This window comes from Homo sapiens, chromosome 11 (genome assembly GCF_000001405.40).
Source record: "Homo sapiens chromosome 11, GRCh38.p14 Primary Assembly".
NCBI classification, from domain to species: domain Eukaryota; kingdom Metazoa; phylum Chordata; class Mammalia; order Primates; family Hominidae; genus Homo; species Homo sapiens.
Window position 1 is genome coordinate 24,324,703 of NC_000011.10, and position 20,851 is coordinate 24,345,553.

A 20,851-nucleotide genomic window follows, 5' to 3' on the forward strand; every position below is an offset into this window, starting at 1 on the left:
CTATTGTTTGAAATGTCTCATTAGCAGCATTAAATTCACAGTTTAGCAGAATTATTTCAGGTACGTGAAGTACATGGAGTATTACACATGGTAAATTGTTGTGCGCACTTTATTTAGTTGTTTGACAATTCTATTATACAGTACTTTAATGAATGAAGTCTTTTGAAGAAGGTTGAGAATATAACTATTATGTTGCTTTTCCTTATAAGAAAAATTATTCCTATTCATGTTTTGCCCTAATTTATAGCGATATGAAAAGTAAAACTGCATATATAATATTCACTTCTTCAATAACTCATTTTAGTTTGCAAGATAATGTTCAAATTATTATAATTAGAATATAAGGCCATGGGTCCAGTGCTTTGGAGGGCATCATTCCAGCTCTCCTCTGGTTACATCCTTACCCTAGTGATGAGAAATCTATGTGGTAAAGGGGCTACAGTTTAGGAATATTTATGGGGCACCTGCTTTAGGGAGGTATGGTTTGGCTTGTGGGCCAGGGTGGCCACAGACATCAGTGACAGGTTTTTTTATTGTGCAAGGCTGAGCTAGGTGTGGCAAAAGAGGAGAGGCAGACCAAGGGGCCAGCTTTCTTCTTAGCTTCTTGCTTTCATTCTGCTAAAGAAGTTTAAGAAGTTTTCTAAATTTGAGTCTGTGCTTCCAGACAATTATAAAGGTATATGTCATGTCATTAACAGTTTAATTTCTAACCTCTAAAACTTTAGATGAAAAGCATATAGGCATTCATTTGTACTGTGCATGAGTAACATTTAAGGGTAGGCCAACTTCCTGATCTAACCTTTGACTTTATCTAGCTCCATTTGCTTCCATTTTGATGGTAATTGAAAACATAAATTACTACACATAGCTTTCTGTTTCAACTTTTCATCTATCACCTGTCTTTCTGCTTAGGCATTTCCTTTTGTACATGGTTTTCTCTATTTACCTGTGCCCCTGCACTTCACTCTGCCTTGTCTAAAAAGCAAATCGTCTTTCAAGATACAGCTCAGACATTATCTCTTTGGTGAGTTCTTTGCTATAATGTCCCTGTCCTCCCGCTCTCACTCTCCCAGGTGATCCTTCCTTTATGATTCCACTTGCACTATATCTTCACCTATGAGACTCTATTCCTGTTGTTAATTAATAATAATAGCTACCTTTTCTTTTTTTCTGAGATATCTTTTATAACATTTCAATCTCACTCTTGCTCGACAGTTCCTAGGTTGATAAGTATTTCAGCTTTATGTACTAAACACGTATGTATTAGTAACTGTTAGGACACAGAGAATTAAAATAACAACACCCATTGAGGGGGAAAGGATAGCAGTGAGTCAAGGAAAGGTTTAGTGTTACAGCCTGTGAACCAAGTCCAGTGCCAAATAAGTTCTTACTATGCTTATTTGAGTCTTATATTGATGCATTTAAAAAACATGTTTTATATTCTTTATCATAATGCAAGGGATAAACCACAAAAGGAAACCAATACATGGGGGTTGACAAATATATATATGTATGTATATACGTGTGTGTATATATATATATATATACACACACACACACACACACACATATGTGTATATATACGTATATATACACATATATATGTATATATATACGTATATATACACATATATATGTATATATACGTATATACACATATATATGTATATATATACGTATATACACATATATATGTATATATATATACATATATATGTATGTATATATATATTTAATATATGATCTAAATTAAACAAAGTAATATTTATTTTATGGCTACTAAAGGTAATGTTTAAAAATACATTAATGTAGAAGGTTTTGTCTATATTCTTTCTAGAAAGTTGTATGTTCTCTTTAGATAACCTACAAGCTTATTCCTTCATACTCAGCCATTACAGCATAAGCATGCTGAGACAGATCAATACAGATAAACTACACATTTAACTAGATATGACATTACTGAAACAAATAATGCTGCAAATAAAAAAGGTATTATTGTAGGTGAATGGAGAAGTAAACAGTATTACATCCGGATAATGGAATATTACTCAGTGCTAGAAAGAAATGAGCTACCCTACCATGTCATGGAAAGACATGGAGAGACCTTAAATACATACTACTAAATGAAAAAAAAATCTGAAAAGCTGACATACTGTATGATTCCAACTATATGGCACTCTGGAGAAGGCAAAACTGTGGAGACAATACAAAAAAAATTAGAGGTTGCCAGTGGATGAGAGAGAAAAGGAGGGATATATAGGCCGAACCAGAGGATTTTTAGTGTAGTGAAAATACACTGTATGATACTATAATAATGGGTACTTGTCATTATATACTTGTCCAAGACAATAGAATCTACAACACCAACAGTGAACTCAAATATTAAACTATAGACTTTGAGTAATTATGGTGTGTCAATGTAGGTTTATCATTTCTTTATAGCAAATGTGCCATTCTCTTGGGGGTGTGTTGAAATTAGGGAGTATATGGAAAATCTCTGTACCTTCCTCTGAATTTTGGTGTGAAACAAAACTGCTCTAAAAAATTACCCTAACACAAATATCAGTTTGTCCCTTATATAAAGATATAAGCATCTAATACCTAATTTTAATTGACATAACAATGCCTACAAAATTTAATCCTCTCTAAATGGTGTATTGCATAAATTTATTCTCAAGTTTATAGAAAGAAAGGAATGCAGTTTCAATCCAGAAGCTCACTAAATATATGGTGTTACCTATATGTTTTTATTCATTTTACTGAAGTAAGAGTGAGGAAATAGACAATCATATGTTACACAAGTATACTCTAAAAGTTGGGAAAATGAAGAGACTTAAAAGGAAGATAAGCTGGATACATTTTATTTATTTTAAGTAAGTAATTTTACTATTTTTAAGTAGTAAAATAGTGACACCTGTAGGTTATGACATCTATATATTTTATGATGTACACACACACATAGAGAGTAATCACTAAGAAATCTATGCAAGGAATATATGCATAAATTAAAATGGAACTCTAAAAAATGTTCAAGTAATCCACAAAAAGGCAAAGAAAAATAAACAGTGCAATAAGCAATAGAGAATGAAAGATAAAATAGATAATAAAATGCCATTCTTAATCTGTAATTTATGATTACATTATATATATTTATATACAATTATATATAAATATATAATTACATTAAATAGTCTAAAAACACCAACTACAAGGTAGAGATTTCATAGAGTGGATAAAAACAGAACCCGAGGGGAGGAGCCAAGATGGCCGAATAGGAACAGCTCCGGTCTACAGCTCCCAGCGTGAGCGACGCAGAAGACGGTGATTTCTGCATTTCCATCTGAGGTACCGGGTTCATCTCACTAGGGAGTGCCAGACAGTGGGCGCAGGCCAGTGTGTGTGCGCACCGTGCGCGAGCCGAAGCAGGGCGAGGCATTGCCTCACCTGGGAAGCGCAAGGGGTCAGGGAGTTCCCTTTCCGAGTCAAAGAAAGGGGTGACGGACGCACCTGGAAAATCGGGTCACTCCCACCCGAATATTGCGCTTTTCAGACCGGCTTAAGAAACGGCGCACCACGAGACTATATCCCACACCTGGCTCGGAGGGTCCTACGCCCACGGAATCTCGCTGATTGCTAGCACAGCAGTCTAAGATCAAACTGCAAGGCGGCAGCGAGGCTGGGGGAGGGGCGCCCGCCATTGCCCAGGCTTGCTTAGGTAAACAAAGCAGCCGGGAAGCTCGAACTGGGTGGAGCCCACCACAGCTCAAGGAGGCCTGCCTGCCTCTGTAGGCTCCACCTCTGGGGGCAGGGCACAGACAAACAAAAAGACAGCAGTAACCTCTGCAGACTTAAGTGTCCCTGTCTGACAGCTTTGAAGAGAGTAGTGGTTCTCCCAGGACGCAGCTGGAGATCTGAGAACGGGCAGACTGCCTCCTCAAGTGGGTCCCTGACTCCTGACCCCCGAGCAGCCTAACTGGGAGGCACCCCCCAGCAGGGGCACACTGACACCTCACACGGCAGGGTATTCCAACAGACGTGCAGCTGAGGGTCCTGTCTGTTAGAAGGAAAACTAACAACAAGAAAGGACATCTACACCGAAAACCCATCTGTACATCACCATCATCAAAGACCAAAAGTAGATAAAACCACAAAGATGGGGAAAAAACAGAACAGAAAAACTGGAAACTCTAAAACGCAGAGCGCCTCTCCTCCTCCAAAGGAACGCAGTTCCTCACCAGCAACAGAACAAAGCTGGATGGAGAATGATTTTGACGAGCTGAGAGAAGAAGGCTTCAGACGATCAAATTACTCTGAGCTACGGGAGGACATTCAAACCAAAGGCAAAGAAGTTGAAAACTTTGAAAAAAATTTAGAAGAATGTATAACTAGAATAACCAATACAGAGAAGTGCTTAAAGGAGCTGATGGAGCTGAAAACCAAGGCTCGAGAACTACGTGAAGAATGCAGAAGCCTCAGGAGCCGATGCGATCAACTGGAAGAAAGGGTATCAGCAATGGAAGATGAAATGAATGAAATGAAGCGAGAAGGGAAGTTTAGAGAAAAAAGAATAAAAAGAAATGAGCAAAACCTCCAAGAAATATGGGACTATGTGAAAAGACCAAATCTACGTCTGATTGGTGTACCTGAAAGTGATGTGGAGAATGGAACCAAGTTGGAAAACACTCTGCAGGATATTATCCAGGAGAACTTCCCCAATCTAGCAAGGCAGGCCAACGTTCAGATTCAGGAAATACAGAGAACGCCACAAAGATACTCCTCGAGAAGAGCAACTCCAAGACACATAATTGTCAGATTCACCAAAGTTGAAATGAAGGAAAAAATGTTAAGGGCAGCCAGAGAGAAAGGTCGGGTTACCCTCAAAGGAAAGCCCATCAGACTAACAGCGGATCTCTCGGCAGAAACCCTACAAGCCAGAAGAGAGTGGGGGCCAATATTCAACATTGTTAAAGAAAAGAATTTTCAACCCAGAATTTCATATCCAGCCAAACTAAGCTTCATAAGTGAAGGAGAAATAAAATACTTTATAGACAAGCAAATGTTGAGAGATTTTGTCACCACCAGGCCTGCCCTAAAAGAGCTCCTGAAGGAAGCGCTAAACATGGAAAGGAACAACCGGTACCAGCCGCTGCAAAATCATGCCAAAATGTAAAGACCATCGAGACTAGGAAGAAACTGCATCAACTAATGAGCAAAATCACCAGCTAACATCATAATGACAGGATCAAATTCACACATAACAATATTAACTTTAAATATAAATGGACTAAATTCTGCAATTAAAAGACACAGACTGGCAAGTTGGATAAAGAGTCAAGACCCATCAGTGTGCTGTATTCAGGAAACCCATCTCACGTGCAGAGACACACATAGGCTCAAAATAAAAGGATGGAGGAAGATCTACCAAGCCAATGGAAAACAAAAAAAGGCAGGGGTTGCAATCCTAGTCTCTGATAAAACAGACTTTAAACCAACAAAGATCAAAAGAGACAAAGAAGGCCATTACATAATGGTAAAGGGATCAATTCAACAAGAGGAGCTAACTATCCTAAATATTTATGCACCCAATACAGGAGCACCCAGATTCATAAAGCAAGTCCTCAGTGACCTACAAAGAGACTTAGACTCCCACACATTAATAATGGGAGACTTTAACACCCCACTGTCAACATTAGACAGATCAACGAGACAGAAAGTCAACAAGGATACCCAGGAATTGAACTCAGCTCTGCACCAAGCAGACCTAATAGACATCTACAGAACTCTCCACCCCAAATCAACAGAATATACATTTTTTTCAGCACCACACCACACCTATTCCAAAATTGACCACATAGTTGGAAGTAAAGCTCTCCTCAGCAAATGTAAAAGAACAGAAATTATAACAAACTATCTCTCAGACCACAGTGCAATCAAACTAGAACTCAGGATTAAGAATCTCACTCAAAGCTGCTCAACTACATGGAAACTGAACAACCTGCTCCTGAATGACTACTGGGTACATAACGAAATGAAGGCAGAAATAAAGATGTTCTTTGAAACCAACGAGAACAAAGACACCACATACCAGAATCTCTGGGACGCATTCAAAGCAGTGTGTAGAGGGAAATTTATAGCACTAAATGCCTACAAGAGAAAGCAGGAAAGATCCAAAATTGACACCCTAACATCACAATTAAAAGAACTAGAAAAGCAAGAGCAAACACATTCAAAAGCTAGCAGAAGGCAAGAAATAACTAAAATCAGAGCAGAACTGAAGGAAATAGAGACACAAAAAACCCTTCAAAAAATCAATGAATCCAGGAGCTGGTTTTTTGAAAGGATCAACAAAATTGATAGACCGCTAGCAAGACTAATAAAGAAAAAGAGAGAGAAGAATCAAATAGACACAATAAAAAATGATAAAGGGGATATCACCACCGATCCCACAGAAATACAAACTACCATCAGAGAATACTACAAACACCTCTACGCAAATAAACTAGAAAATCTAGAAGAAATGGATACATTCCTCGACACATACACTCTCCCAAGACTAAACCAGGAAGAAGTTGAATCTCTGAATAGACCAATAACAGGCTCTGAAATTGTGGCAATAATCAATAGTTTACCAACCAAAAAGAGTCCAGGACCAGATGGATTCACAGCCGAATTCTACCAGAGGTACATGGAGGAACTGGTACCATTCCTTCTGAAACTATTCCAATCAATAGAAAAAGAGGGAATCCTCCCTAACTCATTTTATGAGGCCAGCATCATTCTGATACCAAAGCCGGGCAGAGACACAACCAAAAAAGAGAATTTTAGACCAATATCCTTGATGAACATTGATGCAAAAATCCTCAATAAAATACTGGCAAACCGAATCCAGCAGCACATCAAAAAGCTTATCCACCATGATCAAGTGGGCTTCATCCCTGGGATGCAAGGCTGGTTCAATATACGCAAATCAATAAATGTAATCCAGCATATAAACAGAGCCAAAGACAAAAACCACATGATTATCTCAATAGATGCAGAAAAAGCCTTTGACAAAATTCAACAACCCTTCATGCTAAAAACTCTCAATAAATTAGGTATTGATGGGACGTATTTCAAAATAATAAGAGCTATCTATGACAAACCCACAGCCAATATCATACTGAATGGGCAAAAACTGGAAGCATTCCCTTTGAAAACCGGCACAAGACAGGGATGCCCTCTCTCACCGCTCCTATTCAACATAGTGTTGGAAGTTCTGGCCAGGGCAATCAGGCAGGAGAAGGAAATAAAGGGTATTCAATTAGGAAAAGAGGAAGTCAAATTGTCCCTGTTTGCAGACGACATGATTGTTTATCTAGAAAACCCCATCGTCTCAGCCCAAAATCTCCTTAAGCTGATAAGCAACTTCAGCAAAGTCTCAGGATACAAAATCAATGTACAAAAATCACAAGCATTCTTATACATCAACAACAGACAAACAGAGAGCCAGATCATGGGTGAACTCCCATTCACAATTGCTTCAAAGAGAATAAAATACCTAGGAATCCAACTTACAAGGGATGTGAAGGACCTCTTCAAGGAGAACTACAAACCACTGCTCAAGGAAATAAAAGAGGAGACAAACAAATGGAAGAACATTCCATGCTCATGGGTAGGAAGAATCAATATCGTGAAAATGGCCATACTGCCCAAGGTAATTTACAGATTCAATGCCATCCCCATCAAGCTACCAATGACTTTCTTCACAGAATTGGAAAAAACTACTTTAAAGTTCATATGGAACCAAAAAAGAGCCCGCATTGCCAAGTCAATCCTAAGCCAAAAGAACAAAGCTGGAGGCATCACACTACCTGACTTCAAACTATACTACAAGGCTACAGTAACCAAAACAGCATGGTACTGGTACCAAAACAGAGATGTAGATCAATGGAACAGAACAGAGCCCTCAGAAATAATGCCGCATATCTACAACTATCTGATCTTTGACAAACCTGAGAAAAACAAGCAATGGGGAAAGGATTCCCTATTTAATAAATGGTGCTGGGAAAACTGGCTAGCCATATGTAGAAAGCTGAAACTGGATCCCTTCCTTACACCTTATACAAAAATCAATTCAAGATGGATTAAAGATTTAAACGTTAAACCTAAAACCATAAAAACCCTAGAAGAAAACCTAGGCATTACCATTCAGGACATAGGCGTGGGCAAGGACTTCATGTCCAAAACACCAAAAGCAATGGCAACAAAAGACAAAATTGACAAATGGGATCTAATTAAACTAAAGAGCTTCTGCACAGCAAAAGAAACTACCATCAGAGTGAACAGGCAACCTACAACATGGGAGAAAATTTTTGCAACCTACTCATCTGACAAAGGGCTAATATCCAGAATCTACAATGAACTCAAACAAATTTACAAGAAAAAAACAAACAACCCCATCAAAAAGTGGGCGAAGGACATGAACAGACACTTCTCAAAAGAAGACATTTATGCAGCCAAAAAACACATGAAGAAATGCTCATCATCACTGGCCATCAGAGAAATGCAAATCAAAACCACTATGAGATATCATCTCACACCAGTTAGAATGGCAATCATTAAAAAGTCAGGAAACAACAGGTGCTGGAGAGGATGCGGAGAAATAGGAACACTTTTACACTGTTGGTGGGACTGTAAACTAGTTCAACCATTGTGGAAGTCAGTGTGGCGATTCCTCAGGGATCTAGAACTAGAAATACCATTTGACCCAGCCATCCCATTACTGGGTATATACCCAAATGAGTATAAATCATGCTGCTATAAAGACACATGCACACGTATGTTTATTGCGGCACTATTCACAATAGCAAAGACTTGGAACCAACCCAAATGTCCAACAATGATAGACTGGATTAAGAAAATGTGGCACATATACACCATGGAATACTATGCAGCCATAAAAAATGATGAGTTCATATCCTTTGTAGGGACATGGATGAAATTGGAAACCATCATTCTCAGTAAACTATCGCAAGAACAAAAAACCAAACACCGCATATTCTCACTCATAGGTGGGAATTGAACAATGAGATCACATGGACACAGGAAGGGGAATATCACACTCTGGGGACTGTGGTGGGGTCGGGGGAGGGGGGAGGGATAGCATTGGGAGATATACCTAATGCTAGATGACACATTAGTGGGTGCAGCGCACCAGCATGGCACATGTATACATATGTAACTAACCTGCACAATGTGCACATGTACCCTAAAACTTAGAGTATAATAAAAAAAAAAAAAAAAAAAAAAAAAAAAAAAAAAAAAAACAGAACCCAATTCTATCATGTCTACATAAACTAAATTCAAACATAAAAATATAGGTGGGTTGAAAGGAAAAGAAAACTGAAAAATGACAAACATTATCAAAACAATCATGAGAAGCTGTATTTATGTTATATAATGTAGGCTTCAGGCAAAGAAAATTTCAAGAGACAAAAAGGTAATTACATAATGATAAAAGGATCAATACACCAAAAATCTCATTAGTTTTAAATGTCTATACAGCAAACAACAGCTTCAAAATAAAGCAAAAAATGTATAGAAATCAAAGGAGAAATAGATCCACATTTATATTTGGCTACTTCAAAACTACTTTTAGCAATTGACAGAACTACTGGACAGAAATGCCACAATGTTATAAAAAATTAAATAACAAACAGGTACCAACTGTCACTTATAGAACACTCCAACTAACAACAATGGAATACATGTCCATTTGAAGCACTCACAGAACATTCACCAAAATAGAGCAGAAAACCTTAAAAAACTGAAAAGAATAAAAATCATACAGAGCATGTTCTCTGAACATGATAGTATATGTCGGAAACAGTTACTCAGTAGGACTGTGTTCAATTTTCAAGAAGGGCTTGTTTTCATGACTGGCCTTTGGCTGGAACTTGGAACTAAGCTCTTGGAATATTGTAATAATAGTGGTTTGCATACTGAAGATCTTGAACACTCTACTAGTTTGTCTGAATAGTTCATATGTTCTACAGCCATATCACACTGAATGCAACCAATCTTGTCTGAATAGTTCATATGTTGCAATTTATGGTGAAAATCTTCTTTCCTTATTAGAGTCTGGATCTTGAGTAACTGTTTTAGTGCTATGTACCTAAAAGCCTAAAAACAACTACCATGAAATTTCCTAGTAGAAAACATTTATCAAGTGTTGTCGTGATTTGTTGCTGGAAGAAGTAAGTTTTTCCAAATGACTGAACTGGGGAAGACTTGGGAGTTTATGCTGGTTCCTACAGAATCTGAGGCTGCGTTTCTCATCACTACAAATGATTGTTTAGGGAATTTTATTTTATTTTATTTTATTTTACACTTGTTTTACCTATCTCTAGCCTCATTATCATCATGTTTATGGGAACTCTGCTGGTATTGGAACAGAGGTTGGGGTCCATAGTGGGTTTAGGAGAGATATGTAGGTTGTCATGGAACCTAATTTTTGGAGTCACATAGAATGTGTTCTAAAGAGATTAAAAATTCATCTTTGAAGCAACCACCACCACCACCAAATTCTGGTTTATAGTACTCACAAATGCCTGCAGTGTAAATGCAGCAACCAGGACTAATTTCAACTACCAATGTGACATGAGTGAATGTGGGTTTGGGAAGAAACATGCAGTAGCACATCATTTTAAGCTGTTTTCAGATACAGATACAAAAGACATAAACAATCTTGAGAGCATATATGGTGGAATCATAGATTAAAATAATTAGAAAGGAATAACTCAAGTAGTTATCTTTCCTTTTATTATATTTTATTGTAGATTTTTGTAAAAGAATAATAACAGCTGTTTTTAAAAATTGTCTCACAAAATCCCTAAAAATTGAACAATTTCCTCCTGTGGCCCAGTATGAGCCAGTTCTACTGTGCACCATTGTAGAATCTCATTTCATTTCTAGAGTTGTAATTTCCAAACATTTCACTAAAGTAACATTAAGGGAATGAGAGGAGAGTAAATTAGTACTCAGTGGGTCTATAAATAAAGCCCAAAGAGGTATGATGCAATGAGGAGCATGGGGAAGGGGTCCCTTCCCTTCCCTCCCCTCCCCTCCTTTCTTTCTTTCCTTTCTTTCTCTTTCTTTCCTCCCTCCCTCTCTCCCTCCCTCTTTCCTTCCTTCCTTCCTTCTTTCTTTCTTTTCTTTCTCTTTCTCTTCTCTCCTTCCTTCCTTCTTTCCTTCTTCCTTCCTTCCTTCCTTCCTTCTTTCTTTTATCTCTCTTTCTCTTCTCTCCTTCCTTCCTTCCTTCCTTCCTCCCTCACCCCCTCCCTCCTTCCCTCCCTCCCTCCTTCCTTCCTTTCTCCTGCCTCAGCTTCTCAAGTAGCTGGGATAACAGGAGTGTGCCACCACCCGCAGCTAACTTCTGTATTTTTAGTAGGGATTCACCATGTTGGCCAGACTGGTCTCGAACTTCTGATCTCAAGTGATCTGCCTGCCTCAGCCTCGCAAATTGCTGAGAATTACAGGGAGGAGCCACCGTGCCTGGCCAGTATCTTAATTAATTTTGATTTTCATTCTCCCTCCCTGTCTTCCTCTATCCTGTCATTCTCACTGTCTCCCTCCTTTCTTTCTCTCTCTCTAACACTCTTACAATTTTACACTTTAATTTTAACACTCTTATAATTGCATAATATCAATATTGATGTTTATTTTAATGAAGAATTGATATTTTAAAAGACAATATTTCAAATTTGCATGTCATTTTCTTGAGTGTCTTTTGTAACCAACATTGAGAAGCACACTTTTCATTGGTCTAAAGTTTATCTATGAAATATTCAAACCATCTGACAGTTATACATTAAAACATGCATTGTTTTGCTCTTTTATATAATAAAATTGACTTAGCTGAACCACCTGAATTGTTTTCTCTTAAGAAAAAACTAGGAGATTTACTAATGTCTTTAATGTATTTATTAAGGATAGATTCCAAAACAACTCAGGATGTCCACTTTCATTTTAATAACAACTAAGATTCCTCAGGTTTCAATATCAAGAATATTTGTCATCCTCTTTATCTAACACTAAAGTTATTGGTAATAAATCCCTTTTGCTCTGGCATGAAAAAATACAAAAGCAAAAGCAAAAACAAAACAAAGCAACAACCCTGCATTTCTTTTGCTTTAGAAAAATACAAAAACAAAAAACACCTGCATTTCTTGCCTTCTTCAAGACTCATACAAGCTCTTATAGAAGAATTACACAATAGCATGTATATCACATATATATTTTGGGAGTTCATCCTTTTTTGCATTAATTTTTTAAAATTTCACTTTTACTGCTTTTGTATCAGATACAAACAAACAAATCATTTCATTATTTTTTAATTGAGGTGGAATTCCACAAATTGCTTTTCCTAAAGTCATGCGACTAAGTATGTGCTTCATCAACAGTTTTTAAAGGGTATACCTGGTCAGAGATAAAAATAAAAACAAGTCTCCATAAAAAGTTGGAATCTCTAACATAAATATCACCATGATATAAAAACAAAATTCTGATTTTTAGAAAGCAGTGTTTCTGTTGCCAATAATGTAGGTCTGTATATTCTCTTCTTCAGATGACAGTAGAAGTTACAGAATGTTCAAAAGATAGTATGGCAATGTAAAATTAGTAACATACAGATTTCTCCAAATTGCGTGTCTGTTTTTCCTTGTTTTTTTTTTTTTTTTTTTCATTTTTCACATTATTTCTTAGGAAACAAAACACTGAAGTCATCACAGAATGATTTGTTTTCAAGAAAATTGAAATAACATAACATAAAATGGTAGTGTTTTGTAAAAGTTTATATTATGTGCAAAATACCTACTCTAAAATTTAGTAAAATGGAAAGCAGATGACAATGAACTAGTATGAATACAGGAATTTTGTTTGTAATATGGGGGTTAGTGGTTAAGTACAAGGTTAGCAGTGCCAAGGCAAAGGCATTTTCCTTCTAGATTTTACTTGCAAAGTGAAGCCACCTCTGTGGAATCCCTCACCTCAGAGCCAGTCACAGCACTAACCAAATTAGCTTCTGTATGAATTAGTGGATAATAGACATAAGAACGGTTGACACTGGATAGAACCAATAACCAAAATGAAAGATATTTGCTAAAGATGATTTTCATCTAGAAATAGTTACTATTGAAATATCTTCTCACTATAATTAGGAATGTGCCTATGGTGGTCACTCATACGTCATAAAAACATAATCTGTGGAGGATTCATGCTTTCTTCCTCACCTCCCTTGCCCTTTTATTTTTGGTTGACAGTAGTATTTACACATGTTTATGGGATAGAGAGTGGTATTTCAATACGTGTATACAATGTATAATTATCAAATTAGCATAATTGGTATAACCATCACCTCATTTATCATTTCTTTGTGTTGTGAACACCCAAAATCCTGTCTTCTAGCTCTTTGAAAGTATAAAATAAATTATAGTTAACCATATTCATCCTACAGTTCTGCAAAACACCAGACTTCATTCTTCTTATCTAGTCCTTTTTTTTTTTTTTTTTTTTTGTGAGACAGAGTCTAGCTGTCACCCAGGCTGGGGTGCAGTAGCGCGATCTCAGCTCACTGCAACCTCCTCCTCCCGGGTCCAAGCAATTCACGCACCTCAGCCTCCCAAGTAGCTGGGACCACAGGCATGCACCACCACAACCAGCTAATTTTTGTATTTTTTGGGGGGGAGAGTTGGGGTTTCATCATATTGACAAGGCTGGTCTCAAACTCCAGACCTGAAGTGATCTACCTGCCTTGGCCTCCCAAAGTACTAGGATTACAGGCTTGAGCCACCATGCCCGATCCTAGTGAGAGACAGGAGTAGCTTGATTGCCTAGGCCGACTAAGAATTCCTAAGCCTAGCTGGGGAAGGTGACCACACCCACCTTTAAACACTGGGCTTGTAACTCAGCTCACACCTGACCAATCAGGTAGTAAGGAGGGCTCACTAAAATACCAAATAGGCTAAAAGCAGGAGGTAAAAAATAGTCAAATCATCTATTACCTGAAAGCGCAGGGGGAGGGACAGTGATTGGGATATAAACCCAGGAATTTGAGCCGGCAGTGGAAACCCCCTTTGGGTCCCCTCCCATTGCATGGTATGAGAGCTCTGTTTTCACTCTATTAAATCTTGCAACTGCACACTCTTCTGGTCTCTGTTTGTTCCCGTTCAACCTGAGCTATGGCTGGCTGTCCACCACTGCTGATCGCCGCCATTGCAGACCTGCCGCTGACTTCCACACCTCTGGATTCTGCAGGGTGTCTGCTGCGCTCCTGATCCAATGAGGCACCCATTGCCGCTCCTGATCAGGCTAGAGGCTCGCCATTGTTCCTTCCTGGCTAAGTGCCTGGGTTCATCCTAATTGAGCTGAACACTAGTCGCTGGGTTCCACAGTTCTCTTCTGTGACCCACTGCTTCTAATAGAGCTGTAACAATCACTGCACGGCCCAAGGTTCCATTCCTTGGAATATGTGAGGCCAAGAACCCCAGGTCAGAGAACAAAAGGCTTGCTGCCATCTTGGGAGAGGCCCACCCCATCTTTGGAGCTCTAAGAACAAAGACGCACCTGTAACACTAGCCTATAAAAATAAATAAAGACAAAGAATAACAACTGCTGGTGAAGATGTGGAGATGTGTGTAACTGTTGGTGGAAATGTCAATTAGTACTGTCATTATGGAAGGCAGTATGGAGGTTTTAGAAAAAGCTAAATGTAGAACTACCATACAAGCCAGCAACTCCACTAATAGGTGTTTAACCAAAGGAAAGAAAATCTGTATATCAAAAGGATACCTGCACCCCCATGTTTAGTGCAGCACTATTCACAATAGTGAAGATATGAAATCAACCTAAATATCCATCAGTCAATGAGTGGATTAAAAAATATGGCATAAACACACACTGAAATTCTATTCATCCATAAAAAAGAATGATATCCTGCCATTCATGGCAACATGAAGAAGCCTAAGGACATTACGTTCAGCAAAATAAGTCAGGCACAGAAAGATAAATATTACATATTGTCACCCATATGTGGGAACTCAAAAAAAGTTTGGAGTTCATGGAAGTAGAGAGCAGAACTGTGGGTATTAGAGACTGGGAAGGGTAGCAGAGAGGGCAGGATAGACAGATTAGTTAGCATATCTGTTTTTCTAATCAGTTTTCATCTGCCTATATTATACTTAAATCTTGAAAACAATTTATTTCATTTTGGCTCTATATATTTTTTATGTATTATTAATAGTAATTGTGGAATATCTGTTCTACTTACTTCAAATGACTGCTGCATCTGAGAACACTGTGTATCAATTAGGAACCTTGGAAAAGTTATAAACATTTATCAAGCATCGTTTCTGTTCTCAGATCATTAAGCTTGATTAGCTTCCCCACCACTTCATAAAACAGCCATTATTGATTCCTGGCAATTTGTAAATTATCTTTCTAGTTCATGCCTGATCATCACCATGAAACTCAACCTTCTCAAAGCCAGATTCCTGACTGCAGATACTCAAGTTCTTTTGTTCTTCAGGCATCCATCAAATTATTTGCTCTCAAAATCCCCTCATGAAGTTCATTTTTTTCCTACACTTAGAAAGAGGAAGTAGCATTACTATGTATTAAATTGGATTTGGGAATTTTTTTAATAATAGATTTGTGGAAAATTGGAAAATTTCCTATTCTGATTCTTGACTCTGCACATTTTGGAACCAGCACCCTACAGTAAAATAGGGACTATGGAGAGAGATTCAGATATCAGGGAGGAAGAATTTAACAAATTCCTAAGAGAATAGAACTATTAAATTCATTTGTATCTGTCCCATATTTATCATCACCTGTTCATTTGTTCATTCTTTATTTTTAAAATTTATTTGAGTAAAAGTTAGACTCAATATAATGTACACATTTAAAGTATAGAATTCACCAAGTTTTGAGAGGTGAATACACTCAAGCAATCATCATCCTAATCAAGATATAACACATTCTCATCACTCTAAAATGTTCTGTCATAGCCCTTTGCTGCTTTTCCTCACCCACTAAATAAAAAAAGGCTGCTTTTATTTCTATTATTAATATCTCCTATTGTAGAATATCATGTGAAAATATCATACAATATATACTTTTTGAATTCATCTTCCTTGGCGCAGAACATTATTTTTATTAAACAAAATATTTTGAGATGCAAACATTCTGTTGCATTAAAATATCTTATTCTTTTATTTGCCATGCCATATTCCATTGTCTGAATGTACCCATATTAGTCAGAGTTCTCTAAAGGGACAGAACTAATAGGATAGATGTATATATGAAGGGGAGTTTATTAAAGAGTATTGACTCACATGATCACAAGGCGAAGTCCCAAAATGGGCCATCTGCAAGCTGAGGAGCAGGAAAGCCAGCTCGAGTTCCGAAACCTCAAAAGTAGGGATCCCCACAGTGCTGCCTTCAGTCTGTGGCCAAATACCCAAGCGTCCCTGGAAAACCACTGGTTTAGGTCCAAGAGTCCAAAAGCTTAAGAACTTGGAGTCTGATGTTTGAGGGCAGAAAGCATCCAGCATGGGAGAAAGATGAAGGCTGGAAGATTCAGCTAGTCCAGTCCTTCCACGTTCTTCTGCCTGCTTTATTCCAGCTGTGCTGGCAGCTGATTAGATGGTGCCCACCGAGATTGAGGGTGAGTCTGCCTCTCCCAGTCCACTGACTCAAATGTTAATCTCCTTCTGTAACAGCCTCACAGACACACCCGGGAACAAAACTTTGCATCCTTTTATCCAATCAAGTTGACACTCAATAATAACCATCATAGTACCTAAACTTGTGTATTTATTCAGTTGATGATGATAATGTAGTTTGTTTCTAATATTAGATTTTTACAAATTAAACTGCCATAAATATTTTTGTGAAAATATTTTGAGGCAAATATGTTTTTTTTTTTGTCTTATGGTTTTTATGACCATAGACTTACTAAGTCATATGGTCAGTTTATGTTTAAATCCAAAAGAAACAAATTTTATCCACAATATTCGTACGATTTTAACTCTGATAAAAAATTTATTAGACATTCCTGTTGCTTCTTAATTGTGGTTTTATTCTGTATTTCCTTAATAACTGTCTTATTATCCATTTTTATATATTCTTTTTAAAAATACCCGTTCAAGTTTTTAAAATTATTTTTAGTTTTTGATTGGTATGTTTATCTTCTTAGATTATTTGAGTTGTAACTTTCAAATGTATTCTGGATACAAATAGCTTTTAAAATATATATGCTGCAAGTATTTTTATCACTTTGTGATTTTCATTTTATTTGCAATTACTTTGAAGATGAAGTTTTTAAAAATAAAGTTCTCGGCCAGGCGCAGTGGCTCACACCTGTAATCCCAGCACTTTGGGGGGCCAAGGCAGGTGGATCACGGAGGTCAGGAGTCAAAACCAGCCTGGCCAATATGGTGAAACCCCATCTCTACTAAAAATACAAAAATTAGCCAGGCCCACACCTGGTGGTGTGCGCCTGTAATCCCAGCTACTCGAGAGGCTGAGGCAGAAGAGGTGGCAGTGAGCCGAGACTGCGCCACTGCACTCCAGCCTGGGCGACAGAGTGAGACTCTGTCTCAAAATAAATAAATAAATAAATAAATAAATAAATAAATAAATAAATAAATAGATAAATAAAAAGTTCTCAATCATTTTAATTATATGCTTATTGGTTTTTGTTTGCCTACCCCAAAGTCATAATTTTTTTTTGTTTTTTTCTAGAAATTCTAAAATGTTACCTTTATATTGTGTTTACAGTAGATTTAGAATTTTTTTATGGTATGAGTCAAGATTTATTCCATTCACATGGATATTTAATAATCCTAGTAGTATTTGTTAAACAGAATTTTCTTTTTCCACTTAATTACTTTGGCATTGTACAGTAGCGAATTAAGTATATCAGAGAAAAGGTTTGGTCTTGCCCAAAGACTCAAGGGTAACCACTAAGCCCTTGGTATATACTACCAATGACAGTATCTTTGTTTACCTAGGGATACTACCTTTGTTTACCTGGAGAACTTAGACCATGCCAGATAGTCCATACAACGCGATTTATGGTGGAAGCCTTGGGACATATGGTATCATGTAGACCTTTAAAGTAATTAAAGACTAAAATTAGTCCTGCAGGTGGTCAGTCATGTATGCATAAAATGACCTCTAATAAAATTTGTGGACATGAAGTCTTGGCTGCGCTTTTCTGTTTGACAAAACTTCATTCTGATAGAAGTAAGCACAGTCTCTGTGTCTCCACTGGAAGAAGACCACTGAAAGCTTGCACTTGGAACTCTCTTGGACCCTGCCCTATGTACCTTTTCCCATTGCTGATTTAAATCTGTGTCCTTTCATTGTCATAAACCATAACCCAGTGTATTACAGTTTTCCTAGGTTCTATGGGTCCATGTAGCAAATTATTACATCTGAAGGCAGACTTGGGATCTACCCAAACTGTAAGACACTTATTATAACTTTGAAAATTAATTGACCATAAATGCTGTCAATTGGCTTCATTGTTTATTGATTTTTTTCTGTCTTCAGCTCACACTGTCTTAATTATTATAGGATAATCTACTTTTATACCAGTAATTATAAGCCCTACATGTTTGCCTTATAAAATAGTCTTAGGTAGGCAAGCTATTTTGCATTTCCATACATATCATTATCTAGTAAAAATCCTGCTGATATATTGAATGGGATTATGTTAAACCTAAAACCAATTTGGAGAAAATTGATATCTTGAAAATACTGAAATTTCTTATTCATGAACATGGATATCCTTCTATTTATCTAGGTCTTTTTCACTTTTTCTCACCGCTATATTCTCACTTCTGACTCTTTCTAAATACATGTCTTTCTGTGGCATCTCTTTTTAATAAAGAAGCCACCATGAGTGCTCAAGAACTGTATGAATACCAGGCTTCTGTTGCCAGGACAACAGAGCTCAGACCTCAGGCTAAAGGCCTGATTGATCCACTGACCAGACAAATGGGGGCCTCTGTCCAAATCCAAAGTAATTTCTCAATATAAACATTTTTTAACCCTCTAGTAATCATTAAACTTTAGGAAGAAGAAGAAATGGAAACAGGGATGGAAGAAAGGAAAGAAATGAAGAAAGAAAATGTATTTTCTCTGCCACTTCACTATAACCTTTTAGAGAACAGAGTCTGTGTGTTTTGCTATTCTGTGTCAAATACAATCACACACACACACACACACACACACACTATAAACACTCCAGAGCTATTAAATATAATCTGAAGTGAAATCACTAGTATATTTATAATTTTATTTGTGCCCTTTATTTGTTGTTTGCCTGGTTTTAATTATATTTAATATTTTTTTAAAGTGCTACAATCATAGCTTTAATTCATGTAACAATTTAATGTAAGTTATAGCAACTGTTACAACTTCGAGACAATGTAAAAAACATATAGAAAACAGCCTGTAACATAATGTTCCAGGACTTTTCCTTAGTTCAGCTAAAGACAGAGTTCTATATCCCACCGCCACAAAAATTCGGGCTCGCAGACAATTTGAATGGCAAGATAGGGTTTTATCGGGTGAAAAGGACAAAAAGGGGGAAACAGGGACTCTCACTAGGCCGAGATCCCCTGCTAGAGCGCTTCCCTCTTGCAGCTTGAATCCCAGGTTTCAACCAGGAGGAGGAGGAGCCCTGCTCCTGCCCAGTGCAAAAGGGCACGCACTTCTGTGGCTCCAACCCAGTGTGCAGGTTGCTCAGAGTTTCTCCAGGGACCCCCTCCCACCTGGTTGTCTCAATAATTTAATTGACAAATTTTTTTAAACAGTAAGTGGCTATTCAGATTTTCCTTGAATGCTATAAAAAAATAAGATTTGACTGCCAAAACACATCTATCAGAAAATGACAGCTTATATTAGCAATACTTACAGAAAAGTTTATCGCACGTACATATTATATTTTCAATTGATTTTTACAAGTGAAAATGACATACTTCAAAATATTTGTAGATTGTTTAGCATTTAACCTTCATAACACCTTTTTTCTTCATACTGTAGCAACAATTATTATTTACCTTTCTAACTTTCAGCTTTTTAAAAATGGAGGAAGTTAAATCCTATTAGCTTTAAATAATCGGTCTCTTGACATCCTCAGATCCTTTTCAAAGCTATAAAACCTCATTAATTTAAGACTGTTAGAAAAAACTCAAACTCTACCTAGTAAATGCCAAATCAATTAAAATTAATGCTCATTGCTAAGCTTTTGACTTGTACATACATGAAAATATAAATGGATAAATCTTTGAAAAAAATTAGCACACAGCAAACTGTAGCATATAATCTCGTAGAAGATAGTCTCATTCTTCCTACAGTTGTCTATTCTTTTGAATAATGGCATTATTGTATTATGTAGTTTTATGTGAACATGTTATTTTTATACATTTTTGGTAACCTTTCTATAAATGTTCATATTAATTGTGTAGATCTTTATATCATATAGTAATGTCTAATTGGAAGCAACCACTATAGAAAGGGCACACAAAAATCAAGTAGACTATATGACTTGGTCAGTTGAAGTCAATCACCTTCTCTTGTCAAACACTCAGGGTTTGGTACAATTAGCACATTAATAAAGTGGCTCTGGTGTCAAGTGTCGGGGATCGGCATAGGCCAAATTGCATGGAATTCTACATAGGAAGGTGGATCTAGCTACCGCATGCTGGCTTACTGTCATCAACAGTATCAAATCTGAGTCCCTAAAATTGTGCCATCCCTCAAGAAAATCAACTGGTCACTTGGTGGAAAGTTGACCTCCCTT

At 37.2% G+C, this 20,851-nt stretch overlaps 1 long non-coding RNA gene across 1 annotated transcript in view; it reads right to left on the minus strand.

The window, feature by feature from the left end:
* The window catches only part of LOC105376595 (uncharacterized), a 28,111-nt gene extending 14,014 nt beyond the window's left edge, over positions 1–14,097 (minus strand). Inside the window, exon 1 of the long non-coding RNA XR_931131.1 lies at positions 14,040–14,097. This is a non-coding gene — a long non-coding RNA (uncharacterized LOC105376595). The remainder of the gene's footprint in view (positions 1–14,039) is intronic.
* Positions 14,098–20,851: the final 6,754 nt, after the last annotated feature.